Raw genomic sequence first — 20835 nt, forward strand, 5'->3', positions numbered from 1 at the left:
TCTATTTCTGTGTCTTAAGTCACCCCAAAACTTAGTAGCTTAAAAGAACAAGGGTTATTTCTCTCAATTGTGTGGGTTGGCTGGGCGGGTCTTCTGCTGGACTTGCTGGAGGGTTTCTGGGGCTGGATTTAGTTGGGACATTTGGGAGTATCCCTCTTTGTGGCCTTTTGTCCTCAAGGAGGCCAGACTGGTCCCTCCCATGGTGGTCTCAGGATTCCTGGAGGGCAAGAATGGAAACGGCAAGGCCTGTAGTGACCTGGACTCAGAAGTTGCATGACAACAACACTTACACCTCATTCTAGTGGTCAAAGCAAGTCACAGACCAATATGTGATCCCAAAAATGAAAGTGTTGTGAAAGAAAAACACAGCTAAGATAGAGAATAAAAGGAGGAAAGTGGGGGGGCCATTTATACAGACTGGTCAGGGGGACCTTCTGAGGAGCTGATGTTTGAACTGACACCTGGTGGATGAGAAAGAGCTGGCTGTGCTGAGAGCTAAGGGAAGGGTATACCAGGCAGAGGGATTGGCCTGAGCAGAGGTCCTGAGGTGGGAAAGCCCTGGATAGAGGTACTAGAAGCAGCCTGGCTGTGGGGAAGGCCAGTGCCGGGAGGATTAAGTGAGATGATCCAAGGGAAGCCCCCAATGCCTGATATGTAGTAGGGCTGAATTGATGTTAGTTTCTTTCCTTCTAAAAACTGGAAGGAAGAAATACATTTAATTCACGATTGTCATGAGATGGGAATCTATTAAATTGAAGTTATACTTTACAAAGCTCGGCTTTAGAGGGAAAATAAAATGTTTCCACAGGAATAGATGTTAAAAGAATGGTTTGCAAATGAATGCCCATCCTTACGTGTTTTTTTTAATGATATCTCTGACCTTTTGTGAATTTTTAAAAATTTCCCTTCAACGCAGTGTAGTCTTCTGCGTTAAGAATGTTTAACAGCCATAGATAATTAATAATCTATATTCCCATGATAGAAACCTAGGGGAAGGGAGAAATTAAGAAAGTGATGGAAGATGGAGACCCCTTCTGAAAGTTTCCTGTCTTCTGCAGGGTGTGACTGTAATCTGGAAGGTGTTCTCCCTGAAATATGTGATGCCCACGGACGGTGCCTGTGCCGCCCTGGGGTTGAGGGCCCTCGATGTGATACCTGCCGCTCTGGTTTCTACTCATTCCCTATTTGCCAAGGTAAGTGGGCAGAACATAGCATATTCATAATCAATCCCTCAAGATAAATTTCCTCCTGAGGAAATGCAGATCTTTCTGGCAGAGCTGTCTGGCTTGCAGTTTAATAAATGGGCCCCTGGCTTATATATGGATGTTACATGTGATGGTCCTACCTGGACCTTGTCACTTCCCTTCTTTCCAACCTTACCCTGCCTCCTCCCTGGTAGTTAAGCACATGGACTCTGAAATAATCTGTTTGGGTTCAAATCCTGGCTCTGGAGAGGAGGTGGTATCTGAACAGCATTTAGGAACCTGCCACCACTTCTCAGATCCTGTTGGGGCGGGTCTCCAGATGCCAGTTGGGTTTGCAAATTGGAAGTGTGTGAATAAGATTAGAAAGATGGGAAGGTGGATGACAGAAGGAGGCAGGGTGTTCTAGAGAGAGGGGACAGCACATGCAAACCATAGAGACATGAGACCACAAACCCCCTCCTCCCCACTTGTTTGTATCCTAGTATCCCATCCCGGCAAGGGTCGCTGAAGGGGGGATGGAAGGTGGGAGGAGGAAGTGTCTGGTCCGGTCCCTAGAGCATGGCAGGTATGCACTCAATGCTGGGTGAGTGAACACATGAATGAATGAATTTGCCCAAATTATTCTCCCCTGCCTCCTTTCTACTGTCTGACATTATTCTTCTTTCTGCAGACAATGGTGTAGGGGAAGGGAGGAGAAAGAGGAGAAGATTATCAGTCCAGGATCAAGGCAGGAAATAAAACACCACTTCAGACACTATAAAAAGAAAGAGATTTATTATAGGTAATTAGGTGCTAGCCCAGAGGAGTTGTTAAGAGCCAGAGCAGCAGGCTCTAGGCTGGGCTTCCAAGGAGGCCTCCAATGGAATGGCTGGGTTTTAAGCCCAGACTGCTATGTCCCAGTGCAAGGATGGGAAGCCCATGGTTGGTGACTTCATCTCTTGGCATCCAGGAAGCCAGAGTCAGAGCACAGCTGCATAAATGCTCAGCCAGCTACAGGATGCAGCCTCCTCCTTATTTCCCATCGGTCTAATCTTATTCACACACTTCCAATTTGCAAACCCAATTGGCATCCAGAGCCCTGCCCCAACAGAGTCTGAGAAGTGCTGTCTTTAGCTTTCCAGCCTCTGAACACTGGAGGATATTAGAATAGGTATTAGGTCATCTCACCTGCAAGGTCAGCCACACTAAGGAACTGTAAGCATGAAAAACTCCCTCCCCTAAGCTGGAGGACAAGGTAGTGAAGAGCAGGGGTGGCACTAGCTATCAACTTGGGCAAGTTACTTAACCCCTCTGTTCCTCAGTTTCCAAAAAATAGTGCCTGTCTCATAATTCATTGTTGTGAGGGTTACATATGTACTGACAGGTAAAGCTCTTAGAACTGAGGAAGTAATTGTTCATAAGTTAGCTATTCACTTGCACCTTTCTTCTCCTGACCTATACTTCCCTCTGCATCATTTTAAGAGCTTGTAGTCCCATTTCCAGCCATCTCCCTGTTTGTTTAAATGCCTGAATCCCATACCCCAAACCTTTCCTTTACCTGCTGGCTCCTGGTGTGCAAAACATTCTTGTGGCTGAAAATATATCAAAGGGTTTCTTTTTTTCCTCCTCTCTACCAGCCACAACTTCAGATTCATTCTGGTAGAATGAATTACAAATATTCTAACTTATTCATATGGACAAAGCTTGTGTTTATGGATACAAAGATAATGAATAAATAATACAACACTTTAAGAATGCTCTTTTCCACATTTCTCCACTACTAGAGCTAATTTATTTTAAGGTAGGTAGAAAATGCATGAATGTATTCATGACAAAGCAGAGGGGAGGAAGGACTTCCATAACAACAGAGGAGGGAGGTTGGTAGATACTCTTTTCAGTAAAACAGAAATTAACCAGTGAAAATATTTTAAAAAATTGTTTGAAGTCTCTGTTAATGGTCATAAGAGCATATAGCAAATGAAGAAACAATTACTTAAGAAAATTTGAATCTAGGTAAGAAATGAGAGTCTCTGTGACATTTCAGCCATGACCCCCTTCATTATCCATCCCCAAATCTGTTTTATAGAAGATCTACCCATATGTGTTGCCAAGAAGATGGGCACTCTCTTTATCCTGTGCCCCAGTTTGGGGCTATGGTTTGTTTCATTTTGGGAGGGGAAGGCCACTGATATTTCTCAACCTTCTGCAGTCCTGTATAGCAGAAGCCCTATTCCAGGTGGGCTCAGCAAAGAGGACCAGCTCTCTCTTACCCACCACCCCTCCACTTGTAGGGTAGTAGCTCTAACTTAGGCACTTCAGGCTGAGAATTCTGGGATCCCAATCAACCCTACCCAAGCTGGCTCATAGAGTAGGGATCTATGGTGGGAGAGGAAAACTGAGAAGACCATGGCGCCACCTCCACCTGTGTCCACTTGTAGAGCATAGCAGAATTTCAAAGAAAGAGGGAAGTGTGACCCATACATAGGGGAAGAAGAAGACAATAGAAACCACTTTTGAATGAGCCAGATGGTAGTCTTAGCAGACTTTAAAGCAGCTATTATAAATCTGTATAGAAGACTAAAGGAAATCATGGTTAATGAATTAAAGGAAGGTATGATGACAACATCTAATTGAATAGAGAATATCAATAAAGAGATAGAAATTGTTTTACAAAATAACCAAATGGAACTTTTGGAGTTGAAAAGTATAATAACTGAAATGAAAAATTCACTAAAGTGGCTCAACAGTAAATTGAGCTAGCAGAAGAAAGAATCAGCAAACTTAATGACAGATTGATAGAGATTGTGCAGTCTGAAAACAGAAAGAAAAAAAGAATGAAAATAAATAAACAGGCCGGGGGCAGTGGCTCATGCCTGTTATCTCAGCACTTTGGGAGGCCAAGAGGGGTGGATCACTTGAAGTAAGGAGTTTGAGATCAGCCTGGCCAACATGGTGAAACCCCGTCTCTACTAAAAATACAAAAATTAGCCAGGCATGGTGGCAGGCGCCTGTAATCCCAGCTACTTGGGAGGCTGAGGCAAGAGAATTGCTTGAACCTGGGAGGCAGAAGTTGCAGTGAGCCAAGATCGCACCATTGCCCTCCAGCCTGGGTGACAAGAGTGAAACTCTGTCTCAAATAAATAAATAAATAAACAGAACCTGAAAGAAATATGGGATACCATTAAGCACAACATATGGGTAATGAGAGCATCAGAAAGAGAGGAGAAAAAGGAATAGAAAAAAATAGCCAAAGAAATAATGGTGGAAAACTTACTAAATTTAATGAAAAGCCATCTATACAGCTAAGAAGCTTAATGAACTCCAAATAGCATAAATACAGAGGGATCCACACAGCCAGACATATTATAGTTAAAATCATAATTAAAATTTTGAAAGACAAAGACAAAGAGAAAATCTTGAAAGCAGGAAAAAAAAGACTCATTATGAACACAGGAACACCAGTTAGAATAACAACTGACTTCTCATTAGTAACAATAGAGGCAAGAAGGCAGTGAGAGCGTATATTCTAAGTGCTGAAAGTGGAAAAACTGTCAACCAAGAATCTCCTATCCATCAAAATTACTATTCATGATCAAGGCTAAGTAAAGACTTTCTCAGATGAACAAAAACTAACAGAATTCACCCAACCTGACTTATAAGAAATAATAGACATAATAAAGGATGTTCTTAAAGCTGAAACAGGTACCATCAAATAATAATTTGAATAACATGTAAAAATTACAAAAGAGAGTATAATTGAATATTTTTATACATTCTTCTCTTGACTGATTTTAACAGAAAGTATACGAACTGTATATACAAATACATACATACATACATAAATATGGGGCCTATATCATATAAAAATGTAATATGTTTGACAGTAGCACAAAGGAGATAGGTGAGAACAAAGCTGTATTGGAGTAAGAAAATGACACCAAATCTATAGGAAGAAATAAAGAGAACTAGAAAGGATAAATAGAGTTTATAAAGACACTCTATAAATATATGCTTGATCTCCTTTCTTCTATTATCTTCCTTAGAAAACATAGATTATATAAATTAATAATTATAAAAATGTATTGCTGGATTTTAATATAGAGAGACATAATATGTATAATAACAATAGTACAAAAATGGTGGAGAGGGAATAGAACTAAATAAGAGTAAAATTTCTCTATTTTACTGGAACTAAATCAATATGATACTAATGTAGATTTCTTTTTGTAAGCCCTAGAGCAACCACTAACATAGTAACTCAAAAATGATTAAAAAGTCATGAAACAGAGTAAAAATTACACTAGAAAATATCTAATACAGAAGAAAACAATAAAGGGGGAATAGAGGAACAAAAAATACATGAGATATACAGAAAATAAAATGCAAAAGGGCCAAGGTAAATCCAACACTATCAATAATAACATTAAACATGAGTGGATTCAACCTCATACTATAAACAAAAATTAGTACAAAATGTATGAAGAAACTAAACGTAAGAGCTAAAACTATAAATCTCTTAGAATAAAATATAGGCATAAATCTTCATAACCATAAATTAGGCAACTGTTTCTTAGATATGACAACAAAAGCACAAGTAGCAAAAGAAAAAATAGATAAATTGGATTTCATCAAAGTTAAAAACTCTTGCACTCGAAAGGGCACTATCAAAAAAGTGAAAAGATAAATCATAGAATGGAAAAAGATATTGCAAATCATATATCTGATAAGGCACTAGTATCATATACACACATATATATAATATATAAAATCTGGATATATTATTATAAAATAATCCATATATATGGATATATTATTTTTACAACTCAATACTTAAAAATTAAAAATAATTAAAAAGGCAACCTGAAAATGAGTAAAGGATTTGAATAGACATTATCTTCCAAGAAGATATACAAATGGCCAACTGGTATATGAACAGATGCTCAACATTACCAGTCATTTGGTAAATGCAAATCTAAACCACAATGAAATACCATTTTATATCCACTAGAAAGGCAGGCAATAACAAGCGTTGGCAAGGATGTAGAGAAATTTGAACCCTCATACATTGATGGTGGGAATGTGAAATAGTACAGTGACTTTGGAAATAGTTTTGCTATTCCTGAAAAAGTTAAACATAAAGTTACCATGCTACCCAACAGATCTATTCTTCAGTGTATATCCAAAAGAAATGAAAACACATCCACGCAGTAACTTGTGTATGAATGTCCATAACAGCATTATTCAAAATAGCCAAAATGGGGAAACAACCCATATGCTCATCAACTGATGAATAGATAAAATGTGGGATAGCCATACAATAGAATATTATTTAGCAATAAAAAGGAACGAAGTACTTATGCATGCTACCACATGAATAAACCTTGAAAACATTACGCTAAATGAAAGAAGTCAGTCACAAAAGTCACATATTGTGTGATTCATTTATATGAAATGTCCAGGATAGGAAAATTTATAGAGATTGAAAGCAGATTTGTGGTTGGGAGTGAAGGTAGTGGACAATGTGGATTGACTTGTTAATGAATATGGGATTTCTTTTAGGGGGAACGAAAATGTTCTAAAATTAGATTGTTCCAAAAGTTGCACAACTCTGTGAATATATTAAACAACATTAAGTTGCACACTTTACACTTCAAATGAGTGAATTGTATGGTATATGAATTTTATCTCAATAAACTTGTTTGAAAAAATAAGGCAGAGGTGGGAGGTGGAATCCCAACACACTAAAGAAGGGTTATTCCTCCCCAGACACTTGTCAGCCTTATCTCTGTAAATTTGACGCTCATCTCTCTTATGTTTTTATAGTGATGATCACATAATGTGCATTTGAATTTTAGAGTTAAAAGGAATTGAAATCACAAGTACTTATTTTACAGCAACCATTCTGAGACCCAGGAGAATACGTAGGGAGTAGATAGTTGCAGGGTGGTGAGTAGCACCCACATTTCTTTACTCTCAGCCTGGTATACAGCAGGAATTCTATTGTATTCTTTAAACCCCTTCATCACCTAGTGATCTAGGACATCAAGAAGCATGAGGGCTATTCTTCTAAGGCTGAGCTTTTCATACTGCAGTTCATTGTCCATTAGTGGATAGAGAAATCAATTTAGAGGGTATGGGCCAGCATTACAATGAAATAGGATAGACTAGAAATTATTAGAATGCATCATAAGTGTAGAGAAAATAAATCTCTTGCAAAGTTCTTGTTCATAGTTATTTATGTTTTGCTAGATATCTCTATCATCTATTAGTGTGTGTGTGTTTATTGGGTTATAATGTAAAATGTATTTTTTACTGTGAACATGGCCAAAAAGTTTGGAAACTGCTGTGCTAAAAGATCCTGAAGGATTTTATCTGTGCTTCTGAGTATGGGAAGTAGTTTGCCACTTTTCTTTTCTGAGTAGTTTGTCACTTTTCTTTTATTCTGCTCTTTGCTCTTGCGGCTTCGGACTTTCAAATAGTTATAACCTGAAGTCATAGAACATTTGGGTGAATTTACTCTCATTCAGCTAGAAACTGTTGCTCAGTAAATTGCAGCAATAATCTGATGAATCCATTTTCCCCATGAAGATATTCCTGTGCCAGTATACACTGCATAATTCCTTCCCAACCCTGTTTGAAGGGCAAGAAAGCACTCTGTCTTATTTTTTACCATTATCTATAAAGAGCAAGGACCAAAGAGATAAACATGAAGAACTAGTTTGAGATGCATATCCTATTTTATCTTTTTTTTTTTTTTTAAGACAGAGTCTCGCTCTGTCACCCAGGCTGGAGTGCAGTGGCGCGATCTCGGTTCACTGCAAGCTCCGCCTCCTGGGTTCACGCCATTCTCCTGTCTCAGCCTCTCCAGTAGCTGGTACTACAGGCGCCCGCCACTGCGCCCGGCTAATTTTTTGTGTTTTTAGTAGAGACGGGGTTTCACCGTGGTCTCAATCTCCTGACCTCGTGATCCGCCCGCCTCAGCCTCCCAAAGTGCTGGCATTACAGGTGTGAACCATCGCGCCTGGCTTCCTGTTTTATCTTTAATCCATGATATTGTCTTTACTATTCTTCCTTAAACCCTGCAAAGAGAAAGGACAGTATAAATTTCAAAGTCCTATAATCTTTACATAACTCAGAGTGTGGAGACTTCAGTCTGACCTTACCAGCAAGCTACCTAGAAATGTAAGCAGCAGATACAGTTACTTTTTAAAGATGCTTGGCTTTGATTAATAGGTTGAGCTTGGGATCTTTTGTGGGGGGAAAAATGATAGATAATTGGGATTTCACAAATGTGTATGATAGGCCAGACATAGTGGCTCATGCCTGTCATCCCAGCACTTTGGGAGGCCAAGGTGGGTGGATCACTTGAGGTCAGGAGTTCAAGACAAGCCTGGCCAACATGGTGAAACCCTGTCTCTACTAAAAAAATACAAAAATTAGCCAGGCATCGTGGTGCATGCCTGTATTTCCAGCTTCTTGGGAGGCTGAGGTGGGAAAATCGCTTGAATCTGAGAGGCAGAGTTTGCAGTGAGCTGAGATCGCACCACTGGACTCCAGCCTGAACATCACAGACTGAGAATTTGTCTAAAAAAAAAAAAAAAAAAAAAACCACAAAACCCCCCAAAAAACCAAACAAATGTGTATGACAATCTGCCTTTCATTAGAGTCACACTTTCAAATGAAAATCATCTGACATTCTTCATGTGAGTGGTAAAGAAAACTTCTTGAATTTAGAAGTAAATACAAGGAAAATATTTAAAAACCACCCATATCACTCTTTTTGAAAATGTTAACATTGAAGTATTGTCCCTGAACAATGATATATACAAAATTCCAAGGCCAAGTCACCATGTGCAGATTTTCAAAATAAATGTCCAGAGGCCTATTTTATGACACTTTCGACTCTCACACTCAAAGGATTATGAAAATGTTAGGAGAGTGGAGGAGAGATAATCTGGGAGGGGGTGGATATCTATGGAGGAAACTGTTGCCGTGAACTCCTTACCCTTCTTCCTCGCCTCAAAACACATGAGGGACCTCTGATGTGTCTTAGTCCATTTGGTATTGCTATAACAGAATACCTGAGATTGGGTAGTTTATAAAGAAAAGACGTTTATTTAGTTCACAATTCTGCGGGCTGGGAACTTCAAGAGCATAGCGCCACATCTGGCTGGCTTCTGGTGAGGGCCACATACTGGGGCAAAACATGGTGAAGTGGAGCAGTAAGTGAGCATGTGCAGAGATCACACGATGAGACAGGATGCAAGAGAGAGAGTCCAGGAAGCCAGATTCACTTTTATAACAACCCACTCTCACGGTAACTAATCCGAGGGCATTAATCTACTCATGAGGAATCCACCCCCATGACCCAAACACCTCCACTAGGCCTCATCTCCCAACACTGCTGCACTGGCAATGAAACTTTAACATGAATTTTGGCAAGACAAACCACATCCAAACCATAGCATATGGGAAGCCTCGGGAGGGGCAGAGGTGCTTGTGGCCAGATTTTGGCTTGGAAACCCAAAGGCTAAGAGCTGGATGCTTTTTTGCTTGAGGCAGAGCAGGGAGAGTATTGCCGCATTGGGAATGGCCTGTACTTAGTGTACTGGGGCAAGGGATGTGTAGGTGTTTCCCACAGCCAAATATGGGGGAATCCAGGTGAGTGTCTTGGTTCCTGCCCGATAGGTCTGCTCAGAGACATCAGGAGATCCCACCCAAAGCAGCTGAAGTATTTGTCCAGATGCCTGTTTTATAATAGAGTGTATTAATAGGAAATTTGGGGTTCAGTAAGGACAGCAGACCGGGAGACAACTGCTATTGAGAAGATACAGTTCCCAGAGGAGGGGCAGGTCATGCTGTAGGGGCCACATGGAGAAGCATCAGGGTCGGTTTGGAGGCAGAGGGAAGGGAAGGAACTGTAGACAGAGCACTTCCACATTAAGGAATGGGCAGGGATAAGCAGGTTTAGGATTGGCTAGTTTGAATATTTCAGTGGGTGCTGGGACATAGGGGCTACCCCTAGTTGTCTGGTACCTGGCCCTGGGGTGATTAGGGCAGGGAATACCAGAGTGTGAGAGCTGGTAGAGGAGGTGGTGGGGCCATGCTCTGGACTGGTCGGTGTGCATTCCAAAAGCAGCTCTCTGGAGGGTTGTTTACTATCTCTGGGAATTGGCTTACCCTGGGAGGGGCAGTCCCTCCAGGGTCAGCAAGGCCCCAAGATGTCAAAGCATCAGAAACAGAAAATAAAAGAAATGGTGAATCCAAAGCCCAGGGGCTGAAGCAGTTGTGGGCTGAGGAGAGAGTCACAAGCAACAGAAATGGAGAGGCTTGCATCCCTGGGGGACAAGGGAATGGCAGGAGAGAGGTGCTCAGCAGACGACCACCAAGAGGCCCTAGACAGCATCCTTGGAAGAAGAGCCAGTTTGAGATTAGCATAGGGCTGGTCCAAGAACAATTGTGTGGGGAAAAACTCTTTCCTCTAACTGTGTTTTTCCTCTACTCTCATACCACAACAACCATCAACACAGAAGAAAACGTCTGTGACCAAATGTGTGGGGGTCTCTTCCCATCACCAAGCAGCAGCCACCAGCCAAGTGTCCTCCAATTCAATTCTGACACTGCTTACCTAAAGACAGTGCCAGATCCCACAGGTTGAGGGCTCAGTCCCCAAGACTGCTCCCTCCTTCCCTCACCATCAGTTGCAAGCCTGGGCCTCTGGAACTTCTGACGAAGCGGCTTCAGGTTGGGGTTCCCGCAAACCTCCTTTGGATTCAGTTAATTTGCTGGAGTGGCTCACAGAACTCAGGAGAACACCAAATTACATTTACTGGTTTATTATAAAAGATGTTGCAAAGATACAGATGAAGATACACATAAGACGAGATATGGGGGAAGAGACTGGGAGCTTCCATGCCCTCCCTGGGCCCCACCCTCCAGGAACCTCCCCACATGTTCAGCTATCTGGAAGCTCTCTGAACCTTGTCCTCCTGGGTTTTTAAGGAAGCTTCCTGACATCAGCATTCCTTCCTCCAGGGTATAGACTTGACCCTCTCTGGGGAGAGTCTTAAGACCCACAATCACAAAGGTGGGGGAAGATTAGAGTCCTGCCTTGGGGCAGGTTAAAAGAGGGCAGGAAAAGGTCAGAGGCCTGTCCCAAGGCCTAACACACCCAACCTTATAACAAAAGACTGTAACAAGGACTATGGGAGTTACTAGCCAGAAACTGTGGGCGAAAACCGCTATATATCATGATACCACAACAGTTCTTTCCTCTTCCCTCTTCTTCCTCCCCCACCAAGTTGAAGCCAGCTGTGGGGAAAGAATGCCCACTCCCACCCCCAGCCCACTCCTACCACTCACCTCTCCACCTTTCCTGCCTACTGTGGGATTTTGGCCTGAATCAGGTCTGAGCTGGAGGACAGGAGATTCGACTTTAAACTGGATTTCTACTTACTTTCTGTTCTCTTACCTAAGAGTGTGCTGACAAACCCTGCAACTCCTAGAGTTTTCATCTAGGTGCAGGGAGACAGTCACCCACACTACGTGAAATTGAAAAGGGCCGTGGGAGTTAGTTGACAGCAGGAGTTGTGCTTGTTGAATACACTAATTGTCTAACAGTCAGTTGCATCTCCATGTGGCTTCATTTACCATGGCTTCCTTAAAGGGACTCCATGATTTTGATTTGTTTCTAGGGAATTCTATTATTTTTAATATTCTGCTTATATAAACGTAGATTTCTTAAAAAACCACAAACTCTCGACATTATTTTCACAAAAAACCATATCTTTAAATGTATGTTATAATTCTTTGACCTTCAGCAGAGTATTATTCCATCCAGTTAGAATTTGGTTATGTGGCCATGTATCTGGAGCAAAGGTAAAAACCAAGCAGTTAGGTCCCCACCCCCACAACCTCTGTCAAGTGGAAAAGCGCAGCTCCAAAGATGCACACAGAAGGAATCCCATAGGCCCACTCTCAGCCTAGTCTCCTCCTCCCTTTTTTAAAAATAATTGTTTTAAATTTAGTTATTTGTTTTGCAAGCCAATTGCATGGCAAATTAGAAACATAAAATTAGAAGACAGGGAAAAGATTACTGAGGCGAAACATTCATAGCAAGGGAGAAAACAGACAGGCAGATATGAAACTTAAGATGTATAGCAGCCTGGGGCCACTGAATGAAGGGCAAACAAGCTAACCCAATTCTGAAGATACTGAGGGTATCACTATTAGATTAAGTAAATGGGCATTTATAGTGATAGCTGTAGATCATGAAAAAGAGTTAAATTATGTCTAATATACCTGCTTCATTGGGAAGGAAAGTATAAAATACATTTGAGTAAGAGTATGAGATTAAATAGTGAAAATGTTAATAGTTAAAATGAGTACTAGATGAAATAGTTAACTAATAGTTAATAGTTTGGTGGTTAGAGAGTCAGTTATGACTCCTTACAATTTCACGTGACAGAAAACTAGACCTAAACTGTTTAAGGCAAAAATAACTTCTTGGCAGTAATAGAAAAGTCCGGGCATATTTGGTTTCAGGAATAGCTTGATCTAGGGGCTTAAAATATATATATTTTTTTTAATCTATAAACTCTGCTATCTTGTATATTGGCTTCGTTCTTAGGCCTCAGATGATAGTAAAATGGCAGCCAGCAGCTCTTAGACACACATTATTATGGACTGAATTGTGTCCCTAAAAATTCATATGTTGAAGCCCTAACCCCCAGTGTGACTGTATTTGGAGTAAGGAAGTAATTAAGGTTTAATGAGGTCATAAGGGTGGAGCCCTGATCTGATAGGACTCATGTCTTTATAAGAAGAGACACAAGATAGCTCGTTCACTCTCTCTCTCTCCCTCTACCATGTGAGGACCCAGTGAAAAGGTGGCCATCTACAAGCCAGAAAGCAGGCCCTCAGCAGAAACTGAACCAGCCAGCACCTGGATCTTGGACTTCCCAGCCTCCAGAACTGGAGAAATAAATTTCTATTGTTTAAGCCCACCAGTCTATGGTATTTTGTTATGGCAGCTCAAGGTGACTAATACGTATCCTTCTAGGTTCAAGACTAGGAAAAGAGTATACTTTCCACCAGGACACATCTGGTTCTGATTGGACCACATGCCAGTTCTGGAATTAGTCCTGTGGCCGTGGAATTCAGTGCTCTGACTGGCCAAACCTGAGTCTTCCCCCATATCCACAGAACTAGAAGTGGGGTCAACACCATCTGAACAGCATGAATGGAGCAAGGGAAGAGAGGTACCCCCATGGTAAAATCAAGGTGCCATAGCCAAGACAGGGTGGCAAAACTATGTGTCAGTAAAATCCTCAGCTCTTTGAGAAAACATAGTTCCCCAAAGTGACCAATCCTAAGAAAGATTGGGAAACCCTGTGAGGTCTAACTGTAGCATTCTTTTCCTTAAGAAACTGACATCTGACATAAAAAGCTCTTTAATCAGCTGCAGTACATGAATATAATGTCTTATCTCTTATTTTAAATGGTTGGAGCCAGGACTCCCTTTTAAAAATAAGTGTTTATCTTCCCATTGATTTTTTTTTAATTTTTAAAATTTTTAGATGGGATCTCATTATATTGCCCAGGCTGATCTTTAACTCCTGAGCTCAAGCGATTCCCCCACCTCTGCTCCCAAAGTGCTGGGATTATAGGCATGAGCCACCATGCCTGGCCTCATTGATATTTTTGGTAGAGTTGATTTGGACCTCTGCTTCTAAAGGTCTACCAAACTCTTCTGACCTCACCGGAAGCATGAGAGGGAAAAGACTATCAAGCCTCTCAGAGAGGGACTGGAGGACACCAGCAGGCATGCTTCTGGCCCCGGTGGGTGAAGGTCTGGGGTCAGCCTCTGCTGGATTCTCTGTGGTCTAAAGTCGTGGCTCAAGTGAAGGACTAATACATACACATCCAGCCTTGGAGAAGCCTGCCCATGCTTAAGAGCTGTTTTCTGAGCTGTGCAAGAAATTCACTGCCTCGTGTGCTGTTGAGGTGTACCTTGCAGTTTGTTGTTTTGGGTTTGAACCATTCTGGTAAGAGTTTGGGAGGATGCAACATTTTGTCTGTGATGGCCTTCCTTGTCTTGTAACTACCTTTTTTTCTGATAGCTATTGTGATTTTTTTTTTTAGAGGGAATTGATTACTTGACCCACTGAAATTTACAACCAATCACCATGGCCCACAATGGTGTATCAGCTGACCCAGTATATTCTAGCCAAAAAGTGTTCTTACTGCTTTGCTCTTTCTTGCTTTAAAAACTTTCAAAATCTGGCCAGGTGTGATGGCTCATGCCTGTGATCCCAGCACTTTGGGAGGCCAAGTTTGGTGCACCACCTGAGGTCAGGAGTTCTAGACCAGCCTGGCCAATGTGGTAAAACCCCGTCTCTACTAAACAATACAAAAATTAGCTGGGCGTGGTGGCACATGCCTGTAATCCCAGCTACTCGGGAGGCTGAGGCACAAGAATTGCATGATCCCGGGAGGCAGAGGTTGCAGTGAGCCAAGATCGCACCACTGCACTTCAGCCTGGGCAACAGAGCGAGACTCCGTCTCAAAAAAAAAAAAAAATTCAAAATCTTCTTTAAAGAGAATTTTAAAACCCTTCTAAGCTGCTTTTGCCAACTGTAGTCCTGGATTTATGTTTTGCATTAAATTAATTTACTCCAGACTTTCCTAAGTACAATGCAGTATTTTTTTCATTTTGACTTTGACTCACTGAAGTGCCCTATGGTTTTCTTTCTTGGGGAATTAATCAAATTATATATATGAGATCAGATTTGAGAACTGTCTATATGTATATAAAATATATATTTATGTTTGTGGGTTTTTTGACTCTATCTTCAACCACAGAATACAACTGTTAATTTGGTTATTTAGGGGGTTTACTCTTCCCTCTTTCTCCTCCCCATCCCTCATTCCTGCCTTCGTCTCCTCCTTTTTTCCGCTATTCTTCATTTTTTTCTTCCTCTTCCTCTTCCTCTTTTCCTCCTTTCTATTCCCCTTTCCCCTCCTTTTCTGGAGCAGCTTGCTAGGCAGCAGCTAGTTAGTACTGGGAACAGAGGGTAGGAAGGCAGGAATGCGGAAACGGGTGGTCCTTTCATGACATGAACTGAAGGCACCCGGAAGTGCAGCTTCCCCCAACCCCACCGACATGACCTGACCCAGGGCCCAGAACCATCCCCATTAGAGTCTGATGTAGTCTTTGGGTTGTGGTATCCGGTCTTTCTTTAGAAAAGTCCTATAAATATGTTGTCAGTGAGAGATTAACCTCCTCCTCCCTGTTAACATACTCTCCTGAGTCAGACACCGGCCGGGGAGGAGAAGTGCCCTGCTGACGAGGAATGGTGCCAGGGAAGGTTTTGGCCGTGATGCTCCTGGGAGAAGCTCCCAGCCTTTCCAGGGCAAAACCAGAGACCACTGGGCTGGCAGTGGGAAGCAGCCTGAAGCCAAGTTTTGTGCAGTTTTGCCTTGAACTGGCCCTTCCTTGTAATTCATTTTTGTTTAAGAGAACATTGAGGTGATTGGTCAGAAAAGGCTAAGGATTTTCTGTAGATTTAATTCATCCAAAGCCCAGTGCCAGAGAAGTGATAAGTACTGTGGAACTGATGGCTGGCTTTTGGCTTTGACTGAAGATCAAGGTGCCAATCGGCCTTTCTACAAGATCATGGGCAATAAGAGCATCCCTCAAGCACTAAGGAGCTCTGTTTGGCCATCATCTACAAGAATCTATATAGTGTTGCTTCGCTCATGAGCTTATTACTGCAGGTGAAGAGGAAGGCATTATTCATGGCAATGTCTGTCTGATAGCAATGTTGCAAGATACAATGAAGTAACACGTATCAAGAATTATGCAGGGCTGGACCCGAAGAAGGATTTCAATAGTTACTCATGCTCTCATATAACAACCAGCTATTTGGCAGGTACTGTGGAACAGGACTACATTTAATCCTGGAAGGTATTCAAGAGCATGACAGACAAGCCCCTGTCCTCTAGGACCTTTGTGATCATTATTTCAAAGACTTTTTTTGGTGATCCTTATTTTGTATTCTTCTTGAGAGTAAGTTTCCTAAAGCAGAAACAATGAGGAGTAGACAAGAAATAAAATACTCCGGAAACTCCAAGGGACCTAGAGCAAAAGAAAGAGCAGAATTGAAATATTTTTAAAGCCTTATAGTATTTCCAAGAGTGAGAAAAGGGCTGCCAATGCTAGAGTTGGTGTTTGGGATTTGGCAGTTTTTACTAATAGTTGGATTGAAATGAGAAGCGTGTTGCCAGATTAATTCACAATTTTAAAACACTGCAAATGCTTTTAAGTTCAAGTCTTTGTTTTTACCTCCAAAGAGTAACTGGGTCTTCTCGCTCCCCAGACAACCCCTGTGGTCCTAAGGCCAGTGTCTGTGTCACCCACATTATGCTGTGGAGCTGCCACCACTGCGCTCCAGGCAGCTACCCTAATGCCCGCATGGATGTTTTCCTCTGCATTGACTTTCCTTTAGGGCAGAAATAGCAGAACAAGCCTGTAGTAGCCAGGGTTCTCTAGAGAAACAGAACCAATCGGAGGTGTGTGTGTACGTATGGAGAGAGAGAGAGAGAGATTTATTTTAAGGAATTGGCTCATGCGATTGCGAGGGCTGACAGGTCTGAAATCCGTAGGTTGGACTGGCAGACTGAAGGCCAAGAAAAGAGTTGATTCTGCAGCTCAAGTCCAAAGACAGTCTGGAGGCAGAATTCCTCCCTCTTCTTCAGGGGACATTAGCCTTTTTGTCTTAAGACTTTTAGCTGATTGGATGAGGCCCACCCACATGATGGAGAATAATCTGCTTTATTCAAAGTCTACTGATTTAAATGTTAATCTCATCTAAAAAACACCTTCACAGTGACATTTAGGCTGGCATTTGACCAAACATCTGGGCATCGTAGCCTAGTCAAGTTAACATGTAAAATTACCCAACACTAGTTCTTGCCTCGCCAACTTGGCACTCATATACATTTCTTGAAACAGTACTTAATCGTCAATAAAGAGTATAACAAGACACAATTCTGACTAACATGATACAACTATCCTGTATACAATCGAAAATACACTAACCCTTTCCCCAGAAGAAGAAATAAAGTCCTCGGGTGATGTTCGAGCTTCCCCTTGATATCCTGTAACTTCAATACTGTGGTATTAAGTCAATACATCTTAGGTTGAATGATAAGGAGATGAGAGAGGGAAGAAAACAAAAGATGACTTTTATTTTTAGTTGACACATAATAATTGTACATATTTATGGGGTACAGAGTGATATTGCCATACATGGATACAGTGTGTAATGATCAAGTCAGTAATTAGCTTATCTATCACCTCGAACATTCATTTCTTTGTTTTGTGAACATTCAAAATCCTCTCTTCTAGTTTTTTGAAAGTATACACTAAATTATTGTTAACCACATTCACCCTGCAGTATTAGGGAACACTAGAATGTATTCTTATTTAGCTGTAGTTTCATATCCATTAAGCAATCTCTCCCTGTCCCCGCTCCTACACTTCTGAGCCTCTGTTAAACACTGTGCTGTTCTCTACTTCTATGAACTCAAATTCTTTAAGCTTCTATATATGAGTGAGAACATGCAGAATTTATCTTTCTGTTCCTGACATATTTCATTTAACATAATGTCCTTCAGGCTCATCCGTGTTGCCATAAGTGACAGGATTTCATTCATTTTTATGGTTGAATAGTATTCCCCTGTGTATATATACCTCGTTTTCTTTATCCATTCATCTGTTGATGGGCATTTAGGTTGACTTCATATCTTGATTATTGTGAATAATGCTGCAGTGAACATGGGGGTACAGGTCTATTCACAATAACAAAGACATGGAATCAATCTAGATGCCCATCGACAGTGAACTGGATAAAGGAAATATGGTACTTATACACCATGGAATAGTATGCAGCCATAAAAAAGAATGAACTCATGTCCTTTGCAGTGACATGGATGCAGCTGAAGGCCATTATCCTAAGTAAATTAACACAGGAGTAGAAAAACCAAATACCGTATGTTCTCACTTATAAGTAGGAGCTTAACATTGAGTACACATGGACATAAAGATGAGAACAAAAGACACTGGAGGACACTGGGGACTTCTAGAGGGAGGAGGATGAGAGGTGGGTGAAGGCTGAAAAACTACCTATCAGGTACTATGCTCAGTACCTGGGCGATTTTTTGGTTTCATACACCAAACCTCAGCAACACTCAGTTTACCCATATAACTAACAAACCTACACATGTACCCTCTGAACCTAAATTAAAAGTTGAAAAAAAATGTTACCTGCATTTTAGAGCCTAAAAACCTCCATGGGGGCACAGGTGTCCCTTTCATATACAAATTCCCTTTTCTTTGGATAGATACTCAGTAGTGAGATGGCTAGATTGTATGGTAGTTCTACTTTTAGTTTTTAAAGAAACCTCCATACTGTTTTCCATAATCGCCGTACCAATTTACATTCCCACTAATAATGTATAATAGTTTCCTTTTCTTCACATCCTTTCCAGCATTTGCTATTTTTGGTCTTTTTGATGATAGCCATTCTAACGGAGATGATATCTCATTGTGGGTTTGATTTTCATTTCCCTGATGATTAGTGATGTTGAACATTTTTTCGTATACTTGTTGGCCTTTTGTATGTCTTCTTTTTAGAAATGTCTATTTATATCCTTTGCCCACTTTTAAATCACATTATTTGATTTTTTGCTGTTCAGTTGGAAAACAAAGATTTTTGTTTTACATACATATAACATACGCATATACAGAAAAAACATATTCATAACAAAATAGGAAGAAATACTCACTACAATTACAAATACTAATTTCTGTAACAGGTCACATGGTCATAGCTGGTATAAGTTGAGCATCCCAAATACAAAAATCCAAAATGCTCCCGCATCCAGAACTTTTTGAGTGCTGACACGATGCTCAAAACAAATACTCATTGGAAAATTTTGGATTTTGAATATTCAAATTTGAGATGCCCAATCAGGTATAATGCAAATATTCCAAAATCTGAAAAAATAAAAAATCTAAAACATGTTTGGTCCCAGCATTTCGGATAAGGGATACTCAAACTGTATTTGTAACTACCTTCTTCTGCCACCCATTCCATATTCCCTTTGCCCTCAGCAAGCACCTCATGGTTCTTTACCTGGTGAAGTGACACAAATCTTCATTCTTGAAGGGTCTAGGACATCAGTAGTCTTGCCTGAATTGGGTTGTAGTTTTCCATTGACTTTAATCACAAGACATGGTAATACTAAGAGACACCTTAAGTCATCTCCTGTATTCTAGACATATTCTTCCTTACCTCCATTTTTGAAGAACAGTTCATTTTCCCCTTGGTAATTAGTGGAACACAATTGCTTCTATCTTCATCTGTTGATTCAGAGGAATGAGGAAACCATGTAGCAGTCTTAACTTCCAGTTCAATAGAATGATCGTCACGTCTCCTGGTAGAAGCATTTCTTCCTCTGGAACTAAGACCTCTCGACCACCAGAGCAGAAGGCAGCTGGGATTGGAAGCTAGTTGATTACTAGGGTTTATAGTGAGTGATGCCACTCCCATTTCTACCTCTTGATTCCTGAACTCGTGAATCTTGGCTATCAGAGAAACCATATGTTGTACAATGATTCAGAGCAGATACTGCTTTCTGGAGAAACTTGCCTCAGCCCCGCAAGGTACTGCCACCTAGTAGTTTTCACCTACAGTGAAAACTCACTGTAACTGAGTTTTCAAAAGGCCATTCCACTGTTGTATTAAGCCACCTGTTCAGGATGGTGGGGAAAGTGGTGAGATTAGTGAATTCCATGACCATGGGCTCACTGCTGCATTCCATTTGTTGTGAAGCGAGTTCTTTGATCAGAAGCAATACTATGTGGATACTATGACAGTAAATAAAGCATTCTGTAAGTCTACAAATGTAGTTTTGACAGAAGCATTGCATGCAGAGAAGGAATTTCTGTATCCAAGTAAGTGTCCATTCCAATAAGAACAAAACACTTCCCCTTCCATGATAGGACAGTTCAAAGTAATTAACCTGCCACCAGGTAGCCAGCTGATTACCCTGGAGAATGGTGCCATATTGAGGACTTGGTATTGGTCTCTGCTGCTCGCAGACTGGGAACTCAGCTGTGGTGAGTGGAAGTACATTTTGCTGAGCCCAGGGATAAACTCCATCCCTGCCCCCATGGCTACTTTGTTATGAGCCCACTGGACAATGATAGAAGTGGATGGGACAGAGGCTGCCGGGTATCCACAGAACAGATCCTCCTGTCTACTTGGGAAGCATTCACCTAGGACATGTTTCTTAGCCATTTAGAGAGGGTTTTCACTCAGACCCTTCCCCAGATCTTCCTGTCACCAATTTTCCAATCATGTTCCTTCAAAGTCCCTGGCCATCCAGTCAAAGAATTGGCCACAGCCCATTAATCAATATGTAATTTCACATCTGGCCATTTCTCCTTCCAAGCAAAGTGAACAACCAGCACACTGCTCAAAGTTCTCCCTACTGGGAGGATTTCCCTTCACCACTGTCCTTCAGGATGTCCCAGAAAGGCACAAATGTGCTGCAGCTGTCCACTTTCAGGTGATGCCTCCAT

The 20835-nt window shown here is 41.2% G+C and overlaps 1 protein-coding gene across 12 annotated transcripts in view; it reads left to right on the top strand.

Annotated features, from left to right (window-relative positions):
* Window positions 1–20835, top strand: part of LAMA3 (laminin subunit alpha 3) — a 265614-nt gene that overhangs the window by 93512 nt on the left and 151267 nt on the right. For 11 of the 12 annotated variants that reach the window (XM_011525978.3, XM_011525982.3, XM_011525980.3 and 8 more), the window contains one exon: window positions 1059–1193. In XM_011525978.3, coding sequence (XP_011524280.1) covers window positions 1059–1193 — 135 coding nt within the window. Of the gene's footprint in view, window positions 1–1058; window positions 1194–13058; window positions 13190–20835 lie in introns of those variants that run through there. The other variant, NR_130106.2, reaches the window with a different exon arrangement.

This window comes from Homo sapiens, chromosome 18 (genome assembly GCF_000001405.40).
Source record: "Homo sapiens chromosome 18, GRCh38.p14 Primary Assembly".
Taxonomy (NCBI): domain Eukaryota; kingdom Metazoa; phylum Chordata; class Mammalia; order Primates; family Hominidae; genus Homo; species Homo sapiens.